Source organism: Homo sapiens, chromosome 1, assembly GCF_000001405.40.
Source record: "Homo sapiens chromosome 1, GRCh38.p14 Primary Assembly".
Lineage (NCBI taxonomy): Eukaryota > Metazoa > Chordata > Mammalia > Primates > Hominidae > Homo > Homo sapiens.
In genome coordinates, this window is record NC_000001.11 from 200,404,705 (window position 1) to 200,417,418 (window position 12,714).

The 12,714-nt window shown below is 40.1% G+C and overlaps 1 protein-coding gene across 3 annotated transcripts, besides 8 other annotated features; it reads right to left on the reverse strand.

The window, feature by feature from the left end:
* Nucleotides 1-246: 246 nt before the first annotated feature.
* ZNF281 (zinc finger protein 281) lies at nt 247-5,332 on the reverse strand. 3 transcript variants are annotated; one of them, NM_001281294.2, is made up of 3 exons: nt 5,242-5,332; nt 4,857-5,019; nt 247-4,748 (listed from the first exon to the last, which is right to left on the reverse strand). In NM_001281294.2, exons 2-3 carry the CDS (start codon nt 4,999-5,001, stop codon nt 2,314-2,316), a joined length of 2,580 nt encoding a protein of 859 aa, NP_001268223.1. In that variant the 5' UTR covers nt 5,002-5,019; nt 5,242-5,332; the 3' UTR covers nt 247-2,313. The 3 variants fall into 3 exon arrangements, with proteins under 3 accessions (NP_001268223.1, NP_036614.1, NP_001268222.1); NM_012482.5 differs by having other exon boundaries at nt 247-5,015; NM_001281293.2 differs by having other exon boundaries at nt 247-5,019.
* Nucleotides 4,581-5,158: an enhancer, noted in NCBI's record as "H3K27ac-H3K4me1 hESC enhancer chr1:200378413-200378990 (GRCh37/hg19 assembly coordinates)". NCBI's record gives its function as "activates a minimal SCP1, AML or CMV promoter by ChIP-STARR-seq in primed H9 embryonic stem cells {active_cell/tissue: H9 hESC(primed)}" and the evidence as "EXISTENCE:reporter gene assay evidence [ECO:0000049][PMID:30033119]".
* Nucleotides 5,159-5,736: an enhancer, noted in NCBI's record as "NANOG-H3K27ac hESC enhancer chr1:200378991-200379568 (GRCh37/hg19 assembly coordinates)". NCBI's record gives its function as "activates a minimal SCP1, AML or CMV promoter by ChIP-STARR-seq in naive and primed H9 embryonic stem cells {active_cell/tissue: H9 hESC(naive and primed)}" and the evidence as "EXISTENCE:reporter gene assay evidence [ECO:0000049][PMID:30033119]".
* Nucleotides 5,341-5,520: a silencer, noted in NCBI's record as "silent region_1670". NCBI's record gives its function as "represses an Ori minimal core promoter by ATAC-STARR-seq in GM12878 lymphoblastoid cells {active_cell/tissue: GM12878}" and the evidence as "EXISTENCE:reporter gene assay evidence [ECO:0000049][PMID:35858748]".
* Nucleotides 5,737-6,314: an enhancer, noted in NCBI's record as "NANOG hESC enhancer chr1:200379569-200380146 (GRCh37/hg19 assembly coordinates)". NCBI's record gives its function as "activates a minimal SCP1, AML or CMV promoter by ChIP-STARR-seq in primed H9 embryonic stem cells {active_cell/tissue: H9 hESC(primed)}" and the evidence as "EXISTENCE:reporter gene assay evidence [ECO:0000049][PMID:30033119]".
* Nucleotides 5,861-5,910: an enhancer, noted in NCBI's record as "active region_2298". NCBI's record gives its function as "activates an Ori minimal core promoter by ATAC-STARR-seq in GM12878 lymphoblastoid cells {active_cell/tissue: GM12878}" and the evidence as "EXISTENCE:reporter gene assay evidence [ECO:0000049][PMID:35858748]".
* Nucleotides 6,586-7,192: an enhancer, noted in NCBI's record as "OCT4-NANOG-H3K27ac hESC enhancer chr1:200380418-200381024 (GRCh37/hg19 assembly coordinates)". NCBI's record gives its function as "activates a minimal SCP1, AML or CMV promoter by ChIP-STARR-seq in naive and primed H9 embryonic stem cells {active_cell/tissue: H9 hESC(naive and primed)}" and the evidence as "EXISTENCE:reporter gene assay evidence [ECO:0000049][PMID:30033119]".
* Nucleotides 11,673-12,174: an enhancer, noted in NCBI's record as "H3K4me1 hESC enhancer chr1:200385505-200386006 (GRCh37/hg19 assembly coordinates)". NCBI's record gives its function as "activates a minimal SCP1, AML or CMV promoter by ChIP-STARR-seq in primed H9 embryonic stem cells {active_cell/tissue: H9 hESC(primed)}" and the evidence as "EXISTENCE:reporter gene assay evidence [ECO:0000049][PMID:30033119]".
* Nucleotides 12,175-12,674: an enhancer, noted in NCBI's record as "H3K4me1 hESC enhancer chr1:200386007-200386506 (GRCh37/hg19 assembly coordinates)". NCBI's record gives its function as "activates a minimal SCP1, AML or CMV promoter by ChIP-STARR-seq in primed H9 embryonic stem cells {active_cell/tissue: H9 hESC(primed)}" and the evidence as "EXISTENCE:reporter gene assay evidence [ECO:0000049][PMID:30033119]".

Here is a 12,714-nt window from a genome sequence, read left to right on the forward strand (position 1 = left end):
GGCAATCCACCCGCCTTGGCCTCCCGAAGTGCTAGGATTACAGGCGTGAGCCACCACTCCCGGCCTTGAGTCCATTTTCAACTAAAATAAACCTAGAAACACAAAATACCTAAGTTAAAAAAATACAATTAAAATACAAGCCTCTAAACTGCAGGTTATACCACGGATGTGAATATTTTAGAAAATGTTAATAGAAAATTCTGAAAAACGTTACTGGATATTAAGTAATATCTCCTTTCTTCAATCTTGTGATTAACAGGACTTTTATTGGTAGTAAACTAGAGCAAACAATCAGAATAATACATATGCAGTATTCAGTACACACAATAAAAGTTAAAGAAATTCAAAACCTGTATAAAACAAACTGGAGAAAAATCATACAGCTTAAGAGATACAGTGGTAAAGGTCCTCTCCATCCTTTGATTACAGCTTGTACTCTGTACTCAATAGAACTTACCGCACTTACTGAAATAAGAAATAAACACTTTTTAGTACTCAGCGTATTTAAGATTAAGTACATTTTCTAAGAATCTTGCAATGACAAGTTGGTGACCCTTTAGCTGCTAAAGCTAAAGGGAGGAAAGTGGGAAAAGGAAATTAACTAATACTTTGTAACCATTTTTAATATTTCTTATTTTCCAAACACTGCTTTTATAACAGAAGTGTTTTACACTTGCACAATATTAATTACTTTATTATACATGGAAGCCTGCGGTAGGCTGATTACACAATAAGACTGCAAACAACCAGTGGTACTTTTCTGACGTCAGAAGAGTACATAAGACTGAAACATCACCAAAAGTACATAAAAAACTCATCAGCATAAACATCAAAGTACATTAAAAAATATAATCAGGAAAAAAATACAATTGCTAAAAAGCAGTTTTAGAGTAGAGCCACTGCCAATCAGTAGCTTCAAATGGCAATTAGAGTTCATAGCAAGTTTTGATGACTTTACAAGACCCCTGTACAATACTAATGCACCCTTTCATTAAAATGTACATTAAAGGCCGCAATTTCACAAAGAGGTTCTGATGTTATTACTATAAGCAGACACATTCTTATCCCTCACAGGAGTTATGTCACCAGTTGGAATTACAACCTTATTAATATCTATCCAAGAACACGGGGTTTTATTACATATGGAAATCTGTATGGGTTTTTTTTTTTTTAAAGGTGGGTTTTGGGGATGTTTACCCTATTGTTTTTTATTTGGATGCCCTAAGGCATATAAAGCGCATAGTGAATTACCTACTGGAATGTAAATGGTTCTAAAATTAAAACTGTTAAAATAGAAAGAGGGAAAAGGAAGGCCCAAGAACTCTTAAAGAGAGGCTGAGAACAAGAACAAAAAAACCCAGAAGTGTAGGTAATACGTAACAGCGCAGACAGAACCGTTGTAGGCCATGTATAATAAATAATGCATGCCCCAAATTTCAGTTAATCATATAATTTCAACTTGAGTTCTAATACTGGAACCAGCCAACCACTTGGGCTTCAACACTGTACTAGATGTCAGTAGAATCGCTTGATGGAATTACAGCCTTGTTACAGTTGAGATCAAGAGAGGGTGCTTTTTTTTTTTCCTTCTTTTATTAAAGCTATCATTCCAGGCTTTGATCAAAGATCCAAGAATATTTGTTCTACCAGGCTGGAATGAATGTGGTTTGGAAGTTCAGAGTACATTTAAAAGCTGCAACAAAATATAGGTAGCCAACAATCTCAGAATTTTGGATCAGCCCAGATGGAGATAGCAATTTGAAATGTCTTCGATCCCTTACTTAAATGACGAAATGTCTATCAGCCCAGATAGAGCAATTTGAAATGTTTTCGATCCCTTACTTAAATGATGAAATGTATATCATACTATCTGTAAATTGGATATTCCATTACAGTGATAACGTACAGAATTCCCATGCGTTATTACACTTTCCTGAGAGTAAAGCAATTAGAATAACCTTAATCCTAGCAACAAAGTTTTTTTTGTAGGTTTTTTTTTTTTGGTTTTTTTTTGTCTTTTTTTTTGCGTTTAAAACATTTGGGCTATTCCCTGACGATCTATACATGTAAATTTGATTGCTAAACATTGTCACTTTGAATGTCAAACTATTTTTAATCTATTGATTTTGATTAAAAATCATAATACAAACAGAGCTAAAATCACGCTAACAAAATAAACTAAATATGAAAAGTTGCATTGAAAGGGCATCACATTATTCTTAATAGGATCGTGTAGAAACATTCCAATGGCAGTGTTCTCAAAATAAAACAAAATTACATTAGAAGACCTCCAGCCTGGCCACTTTTGGGACCTTACCTGTAACTCTGGCTGGTGGGTGTCTTTACTCTTGTACTACATGGCTCACTTACATCAGACATCATATTTGTATACCCTGAGAAATCTGACACTGAAGTCCTTACTCTATGGTCCACTTCTCCATTAGAGTTAGTGATAAAGGTCATTGGCACCCTGCTGCCCGACTTAAACTGAGAACCAAACGCTTGTGCAAAGTTCTCAATCTGATACGTTGTTCTAGGCTCTATGTCTTTCTGAGGATCTATCTGGCTAGCTAACTCCTGAGATGGAATCTGAAAGCCTGTTGAAGACTCTAAGTTTTTCTGTTCCTTCTGGCTAGTCAATTTCTGAGATGAGGACTGGAAGGCTGATGAAGTCTCTAAGTTCTTCTGAGAATCTATCAGATCATCCAGCTCCTGGGAAGGTGTCAACTGCTGATGTGTAGCATCCAAAGCAGACAAATAAAGACCTGGCTGAGATCCAAACAACATCCCAAAAGGAGGCTTTGGCAATGAAGATGGCAACACTGAGGTAACAGATTGGCCGAAACCACACTCCAAAGGAGACGTAGTGTATATTTGTTTTTCTGGAAACAAAGTGTGGTTGTGGAGAGGTGAAGACAAACTGACAAATTGGAAACCGTGTCCAAGAGTAAAACTTGCATTAGTGGATTTTTCAAAAGCCTGTTGGAGGTATTTGGAGTATTCTTGCAACATACTTGCTTTATCATTTGAAGGTGTTTGGGTGCCTGGGCTCAAATTTTCTTCTTGAACCAATTCTGAGTGTTCTCCTGAGGTGTGTAAATCCACTCGTGGTTCTGCAATATTGAAAGGATCCTCTTTCTGGCTTTCTGATTTGTTGGAGTATTGATCCAAAATACTTTGTAAAACCTCATCAGGAATTCCAGACTTGTCATGACAAGATTTAATTTCAGCATTTAGAGCTGAGGAGTCAATAAGTGACAATGGTGCCTCATTGTCCAAAACACTGACACCTGCAGACTGAATGACAGACTGTTGGGAGACCATGTGTCCTACGTTTATAGAAAAGGCACTGTTGCTGCTGGCAGTTGGTAAATATCTTCTTTTCTTTGAAAACTGCATGGCATCATCATAATTACTACTTATCTGACCTTGTTTGCCACTTGTACTTTGGAGAAGACCAATGGTCTCCACACTATTATTTGATACTATGCCAAGTGAGCCACTTGGTTTTCCAGACAAGGATTTCTGTCCTACTATGTCTGGTAATGGTGACACAAAGTTAAGGTAGTTTTTATCTGTATTCTTTCTGCTTCCTTTCTTAAAGATCAATTTTGGCACCCTCTTCTGCAGTTCATCTATTCCAGTGCCAATTATGCCTCCACTGGAAGACACGGTAGGCATTTCTACTGAGTAACTCTGCATGTTTATATTATTTGAAATTTGCGATTCATTTGTTTTACCGGTCTTCTGTTCCTTATTTTCAATAGCTATGCTTTTTGACTTTGTTTTTCTCCTTGAAGAACTTGTATTTCCCTGAGACAACACAGCCAGATTACCCATATTGGTATGGTTTGATGACCCAGGTTCTGCACTAGTGGCTCCTTTAACTATGACTTCACCACATGTGCGCCTGTGCTTCAACAATCTATCAGTCCTTGAAAAATACTGTTGGCAAGTGTCACACTTATATGGCTTTTCTCCACTATGTGTCCTCTTGTGTCTCTCCATATGGTACTTCTGAATAAACTTCATGCTGCACTGATCACATCCAAATGGCTTCTCTCTACTATGAATTTTCTCATGTCTCTGTAGTAGGTATTTCTGAATGAAACCCATACTACACTGGCTGCACTGGAAAGGTCTTTCTCCTGTATGAATGAGGACATGTCTCCGCAGGTGATAGGAGCTTCGGAAAGCAGCACTACAGTGATCACAGATATGAGGTTTCTGACTTGGGGAGAGGATGGCACCTTCTCCATCTCCAACCAAAGAAGGTTTGGAAGATGCACTTGGCTTCCTCTTGGCTTTGATTCCCTGAGATTCTGGCTTTGGCCTTTTTGCCTTTTTGACATTAGTGTCCTGCTTTGGCTCCTCAGTGCCATGGTGGTCATCAGTCCTGCTACTGCTGCTGAGTAATACGTCACGGTGGTGCTGGGCTGGTTGCTGCTGGACATGCTGGTGGAGAATACTGAGGTCCTGGATGACGCCGTGACTCCCCCCTTCACCGCCTCCTAGGCCTGGAGACCTCTCTTCAGCTCCAGCGAACAGCCCCCCATAGTGGTGGTGGTGATGGTGGTGGTGGGACTGCTGCTCCTCAGGATCCGCGGGTTTCTCCTGTTTGATGCTAACCAAAGACTGCAAGAACCCCCAGGAGGTCCTCTGCGAGGGGAAGGCCGCGGCTGACGCCGCCGGCTCCTTCTTGAAAGTCATGTCCGGGGCTGGCGGAGGGGGGGGCTCAGCGGCCGGGGCTGCGGAGGTAGAGGAGGATAACACGCATTGCGGGGGAGGGGCGGCCGACCCCGCCGGCCGGGTGAAGCTGGTGACCGGGGGAAGACGGTGGTTGAACATAACCATACCCTGGGGAAAGGTGGGTTCCATCTCTGCCCTCCTGCCGCTGCTGCCGCCGCCGCCGCCGCCGCCACTACCACCGCCGCCGGAGCCGCTACCACCGCTACTGCCGGTACCTCCGCCGCCACTCAGGAACCCACTGCCGATTTTCATACCCCGGAGGAGGCCTGGCTGAAGAAAGGAGGAGGAAGAGGGAAGAGGGAGGAAAGGAGGTGGAACCGGGCCCCGGGCCGGGACCACCGCAGCGCTAAGGACCCCGCCGCGCCGCCGCCCAGACCGCAACGCGCCCAGCACTAATTCCCAGCCCAGTCGCCTCCGGCACCGGCACGCATGGTCCTGCGACTCTTCCCCAGGCCTCGCCCTCTCCCTCCTGGACCCACCGGCAATACTTACGGGTCCCGCCGCCGCCGCAGCCGCCGTCGCCTCCAGTTAATAAAAATAACGCCGTCCTCTCCACAATGGAATTAAAAGCCTCCCGTGTACTGCGCAGCCGCGGCGCAGTGTCTGCTGGGAACTCCTCGACCCGGCCAGAGGGGAGGGCTAAGGAGCCAGGGCGCCTGCGCCGCAGCTTCCGCCCGGCCTGCCTGTCAATCACTGGGGCCGTTGGGCGGAGGCGGGGGAGCAAGGGCAGGGGAGGCGGGGATTTGGAGCCCTGCTAAAAAGGGGCTTTCGAGGCGAACAGGCGTGATTGGTGGGCTGCACTGAAGGAGATGAAAGTGGTTGAGGGTTTCTGGGGGAAAGACGCTCAGGAGGTGGAACCCAAGGGGCGGGAAGTTACGGGGGACTGTACTACAGCGTGGCGTGGGAGATGCAGAGAAAGGGGCTGGAAGAGAAGGTGAGGGAAACTGAGGATTCAATGTTAGGGCTTTCTTCACTCTAGGTTTTGCAATCCAGGTCTTGAAATAAAATTCAAACCTAGAAGTGGATCATTGAGGGCACTTTTGATTCTATCAAGAAGCATTCAACTCCAAATGCTCAACATTTATTAAAACAGGTGCTTATGTTATCCCTTTGAATTTGGAAGCACTAATAATGGGCGCATATCCTTTGCATTTATGGGAGGAGCCTGCTTTGAAACCGCAATTAGTGGTACCGTTGCAACAAAAAAAAAAAAAAGAAAAAGAAAAAAACTTGTCTTACTGCCAACCTTCCTGAAGGCTACTGGAAGAGGAAACCGAGCGTAATCCAGGTGCAGCAGTCCTGTAAAACACGCCCACACACATACTTCATTATCATTACATCTTATTTAAATGCCCCCGTACCTTAGCCTGGCTAATCAGTCTGTTTGCCACGTTATGAATGCCTGGCCCTTTATATTGTTTATGAAAAATTAACCACCAGGCCATTCTAAGAGCTCTGCTAGGATCAACTCTTTCCTCGCCAGTACAGAATACCGAGAAACTCATTGCAAATTTAGAAATTTTTCTTGTAAGGGAAAATTATGAAGTAAAATCTTAAAATCAAAGTTATATCAACAAAATCAAACAACAAATATTTATTCAGTGTCTAATGTACACAAGGCACTCGATTTCATGTTAAGCATGCAGAAATCTAAACCAGACACTTTCCTAGCAAAGGATATTTATAAATGAGAAATTTTAAATAAAAGAACTAGAACTATGACAACAGCTTATTTACATAGTATGTTTTCTTAATGAAGTTACATGTACATCACAATGTTTCTAGCTAAATAACTTCTCATAATTAAATAATAAATTCTCTGGGAAATTTCACAATCGAAACCATAGGGATTATTTACTAATACTTATGGACCTCTCTCAGCCTGCCCTAAAAATTTTACAGACAATATTTAATGAGAATTTTGAGATAAGAAGAAATTGCTTTTTTTCTAATCCCATGAAACAACATGTAAGTATTCCACCACTTAAACTGACACTTTAATACTGTCAAGTATAGTTGTGATATTGTGAAATATATATTTGGACTTTGAACCGTTTTGTGGCATACAACTGCTAAAAATCCTTGGAATCTGCAAAGTAATAAATGTCTTTTTGTATGCTAATGAAGCGACTGATGATGGCTGGCAACCCCTAGGTAGCTTCAGGATGGGGGCTGGTCACCGGAAAGACCAAGGCAGGATTAGAGTTTGGGACTTTCAGTCCCACCCCCCGACCTCCGGGGAGGAGAGAGGGATTGAAGGTTAAGTTGATCTTCAATGGCCAATGATTTAATCAATCATGCCTGTGTAATGAAGCCTTCATAAAAACCTAAAAAAGGACGGGGTTTGGAGAGCTTCCTGTAAGCGAACCCGTGAAGGTTCCAGGAGGATGGCGCACCCGGAAAGGGCGTGGAAGCTCCGCGCCCCTTCCCACAGACTTTCCCCCATCCATCTCTTCATCTGGTGTTCATCGATAGCCTTTGTAATGTCCTTAATAGTAAACCGGAAAACGTAAGTGTTTGCCTGGGTTCTATGAGCTGCTCTAGCAAATTAATCAAGCCCAAGGAAGGGGTCATGGGAACCCCGATTTACAGCTGGTCAGTCAGAAGCACAGGTAAAACTACCTGGGGCTTGTGATTGGCATCTGAAATGCGGCCGGCCAGTCTTGTAGGCCTGGGCTCTTAATCTGGGGGATCTGATGCTGTCTCCAGGTAGGTAGTGTCAGAATTGAATTGGAGGACACCCCAGTGGTGTCTGCTGCAGAATTGATTGCTTGCTCGGTGTGTGGGGAGAAACCCCTACACATTTGGTCGCAGAAATCTTCTGTGTTGATTGTTGAGTGAGAGTATAGGAGAGGCTGAGTTGTTTTTTTGTTTTTGTTTTTGTTTTTTTCTACAATAGCTAAGTGTTAAAGACTGAAAGTTCAAAAACTTAAGGCAGTCGTAAAATATTAGTCAACGCCTGTGAGAAATGAGGCTGTCCCTTTATTCAGGGTGTCAGTGTTTAATGGTAAGCTGGGATGCATATAAGCTAGTCCAAGCATGAAGGGCAGTAGGACACTCATATGAAAAGCCAACTTTGTTCCTCAGTTATCAAGATAAGAAACCTGTCATTTCTCTCATTCACTCTGTCAGCCTTGAGATACTCCAAGCAGACTTACCTCTGTGTTGTACACCCCATATATCAGGAAGATGAAGAGACCCTGTAAAATAAAATGGAGGGGAAAAGCTGTTAACGCTAATCATTTCAGCAGTAGAAATACCTGAAATAAACTTTCCTGGGAACAGACAAAAGAAGACACACTTCATCAAGGTCAATTTATTTTCCTATTTTTCAACATTAGAAGGTGTACCTTGAGCATTTATATGATAACATAGCAAGCACATCACTTATAATGGTTGTGCTATTCAATTCTTTAGAAGTACAAAATAAAAATACCATCCCAAGTACAAAGAATATTAATTAGAAAAATCAATATACCAGTTCTGAAAGATAGCTGGGTAATGAAAAAATTAAACTCAGGAAATGTTATTAAAGTAATCATAGAAATAACACTAAGCATCAGTATTTCCAAGCACTGTTTTAGACTGTAGCAACTAGAATATATTTGTTACAATCTTCAACAGGGTTAAAATTAAAAAAAAAAAATTATAAAGCAGCTAAAAGAATAAACTTAAGGTAATAAGTATGAATAGGTTTTGAAATAATACTTGAAATACCAGCTCGAGATAAAATTTCACATTACCATCTGTTGTGAACTGCATACATTTTTATTGTAATCTATATATGTAACAAATATTCCAAAGATGTTGATTAGTCTTTAGCTTTAGAAAATGCTTAATTAATTAGAAAATATAAATTCACTTTTAACTCTAAAATCTTAACTTTTAAAAGAAAATAAAACTATATGCTTTAAACTTAGAGAAAACAGACAGCAAAAAATTTTCACTTCAGTGAGGAAATAAAAATCTACATTGTAGTATTCTTGTTAGGTACTAACAAGCCAAATATTAAATAGGAGTCTGTACTAAATCTAGAAATGGTTCAAATAGTTAAGTAATATGATTCTTTCAAAAGTAAAATATTAAAGGAATATTTTAATATTTGTTTATCTCTGAATGCTTAGATTTTACAGATAATGGAAACAATCCCAGAACAAAGAGATTGTATAAAACTAGTGATTCTTGTTTTTATTTAGTTTCTTTTTAAATAGACTTTGTTTTTTACAGCAATTTTAGTTTTACAGAAAAATTGATAAGATAGTACTCAGGCTGGGCACGGTGGCTCTTGCCAGTATTCCCAGCACTTTTGGAGGCCGAGGCGGGCAGATCACCTGAGGTCAGGAGTTCAAGACCAGCCTGGCCAACATGGTGAAACCTCGTCGTTACTAAAAATAAAAAATTTGCCGGGCGTGGTAGCACATGCCTGTAATCCCAGCTACTAGGAAGGCTGAGGCAGGAGAATCACTTGAACCCGGGAGGCGGAGGTTGCAGTGAGCAGAGATTGCACCACCGCATACCAGTCTGGGCCACAAGAGTGAAACTCCGTCTCAAAAAAAAAACAACAAAGAAAGATAGTACTAACAGTTTGCATATATCCGATACATCCCCAGTTTCCTCTATTTTTAACATTTTACATTAGTATGGTATATTCATTATAACAAATCTAATTCAATACTACTACCTTTATAATTTCTGAAACTAAAACTGTTGCAATACATACATTTGTTTTAATAAGAATGATTAATGAAGAGTTATGAACAATAAACAATTTCCATTTTGATAATAAACTTTTAAAAATTCAACTATAGCTACACTTTTTTTTACTGTGTATACACGATGTCCCAAAGTTCAATACCAACACTCACTTTCCTCCTTCCAGTAGCCTTGGTCAAGATCCATTTAGTGCAGACTAAATTCAAGCCACTCAGTACTTGAGTTTAGTACTCATTTTATAGGCTACTTGTTTGCTCCAATTCTGGATAATTCTAAATAGTTAAGAAAAAAAAATCTTTTTTCTGATTTATGTAAAAACTCTAAGATAATTAAGAGTCCCTCTTCCCTCAATAATTGTTAATTTTTTATTCCTTATTTTGCTGCATAAATAAAAATTTAAGAGTAAGTCATTCAAATTTTAATTCTATTTATGAGATAGGAATATTTTGCTTTGTACAATAGATGAGTTCCTGAACAAATAAAATTTCCTGAACAAATAAAATTTCCTGAACATTGAACAACATGCATTATTATTTCCGTATAAGAAACCCAGCTGTTTATGTGAAATCTATATGATGCTTTGAAAATCAAAGAGCTAACCAGGTGCAGTTGTTCACACCTGTAATCCCAACTCTTTGGGAGGCTGAGGCAGGAGGACTGCTTGAGGCTGGGAGTTTGAGACAAGCCTTGGCAACATAGCAAGACCCTGTCTCTACCAAAAATTTAAAAGTTAGCCGGGCGTGGTGCTGCATGCTTGTAGTCTCAGCTACTCAGGAGGTGAGAGGATCACTTGAGCCCAGAAGTTGGAGGCTGCAGTGAGCTATGATCGCACCACTGCTCTCCAGTCCATCCTGGCAACAGAGTGAGATCCTATCTCTAAAAAATAAATAAATAAAAAGAAAATCAAAGAGCACTTTAATAATGGTATAATCACCCTTGTAATTTATCTGTCTTGTAAGTTTTATTTTTTCCCCACGTTTTGGTAAACTGAGAAAGTAGAGTATGCTTCATATTTTTATTTACTACACTACCACGTTACTTATTATACATTTTTAATTTTAATACATTTAACCTTAAATGTAAAATGATCACAACAAAAATATTCCTTTTGAAAATAGGATTTAGAATTTAAAAGGATTTTAGATACAGGCAGCTTCCATCTCAAAAGCTTTTTTCTCTTTTTGCCTGTCCTCAACAGATGTACACCTAACAGCATGGTAAGGAAGCCCCAGAAGGATGTTTCTAAAGACCATGAGGGAGTCTGAAACCTGAAATCATGCCAAGGACTCTCTGCTTCTCTTTCACTTGGGGTGTCTATCTGATGCTGCCACAACCAGTTGAAACGTATAACATTAACAATAAAAATTAGTTTTTTTGTAACTAATTTTATGCCCCATAATTGTATGCCCCACACATGATGTCTTTTTTCTCCATTAATTTTACCAGGTATTCACAGTCATGATCATTTAGATCTAATGCCACAGAACTTCATAAACCCTTTACTACTAGAAAAACATCCTATTTTCTCAAAGGGAAGAATCACAACAGAAACAGCTAAACATAAACATCTTAAGCCATACTATGAGCCACTTTTAAATTCCTGCAGAGAGGATACCTTTAAAAACAGCTGGAAGGAACCAACTGCCAAACTTCAACTGGCACTGTGATTTCTGGAACTCCTTATAGCAACATTCTGTCCTACTAAAGAGTCAATACTGAAAGTATGTCACATTTCTGAATTGAATGATCTCTCATGTCTGTTAGGTGGTTTCTACTATTCCATTTATAGAACAGTTCATCTGTAATGTATTAATATATGAAGTATTTTCTATAGAGGTACCTATTTCTCAATGCTTTAGTCACAGTAAAAATAACATTAATTGGGCAGGAAGCATCCAAAGTGTAGCTGGATTCCTGTAGCATGCGTGTACTTTATGGGCAGGGGCCAGGAGTTGGGAAAGAACACCAGGATATTACATCTGATACTGTACAGAAGTTAAAAATAGAAACTAAGGGAAAGAGAAAAAAACATTCTTGATGATTTCATTCTCATTTATCTATGAAACATTGAAAACTGAGGCGACTTTGTAAATATTTACACTGTTCTAGAAGTCTTGAGCATTATCTGCAAATAGATTCAGTGGTTGACATCAAGTCTGTTGTTATATTGATCTGTACTTTTACAGTACACTTCATGATTGTTACAGAATCAATCTTTTTTAAGTGGTAATATTTTCTTTCTTGGCAACAGAAAGAACAGGACAGGTGCCCCATACATAGCACATTGCCTCCTCAGGAATAAGAATAGTATTAACAGTGCTAATATCTGGATAGCTCTCTCAAGCACTTTCATTTACATAAACCCATTTGTTCTTCACTACAACATTGCAAAGGAGGCAGTGTGAGTATTATTAGCTTTATTCTTATATATGGGGATTTTGAGGCTTGCTCAAAGTGCCACAATGCTGACAAGTTGGCAGAGCCAAGGATTACTGTTTGACTCCTAATAAATGCTCTTTCACACACATTGTCTTAAATAGACACCTTCATAACTCTTTTTTTTTTTTGAGACGCAGTCTTGCTCTGCCGCCCAGGCTGGAGTGCAGTGGTGTGATCTTGGCTCACTGCAAGCTCCGCCTCCTGGGTTCATGCCATTCTCCTGACTCAGCCTCCCGAGTAGCTGGGACTACAGGCGCCCACCACCATGCCCGGCTAGTTTTTTGTATTTTTAGTAGAGACGGGGTTTCACAGTATTAGCCAGGGTGGTCTGCCCGCCTCGGCCTCCCAAAGTGCTGGGATTACAGGCGTGGGCCACCGCCCCCAGCCAACAACTTCATAACTCTTAAGTCACTAGCTTCAAGATAATGCAATTGGTGAGACTTTTCAAAGCTCAAGTTTATTAAAAGCATATTGCAGTTTGATTAGCTCATAGGGTTAGGGACTCAGTATTTAGTAATAGGGCTTCAAGTAACCCTGGTCCTCCACCTAGCAAGTACAACAAGAAATGCAGTTGGTAACAATGATTTTCAGTAGCTATGGGCCAGTTTCTGCCTCTTGTACTTTCCTTATAGATTCTCATTCAATGACGTATACTTTCTGGTTGCTGGGAAACTTACCTTTTGCCATCAAAAAAAGGCTGCTAGGTAACCGTATTGTCAAATATTCTTATTGTCATCATTTACTGAACTTTTTTGAATGTATGTTACTATGCTGTGTACTTTTATGTATTTACAAATCCTGTTCCAATCTTTC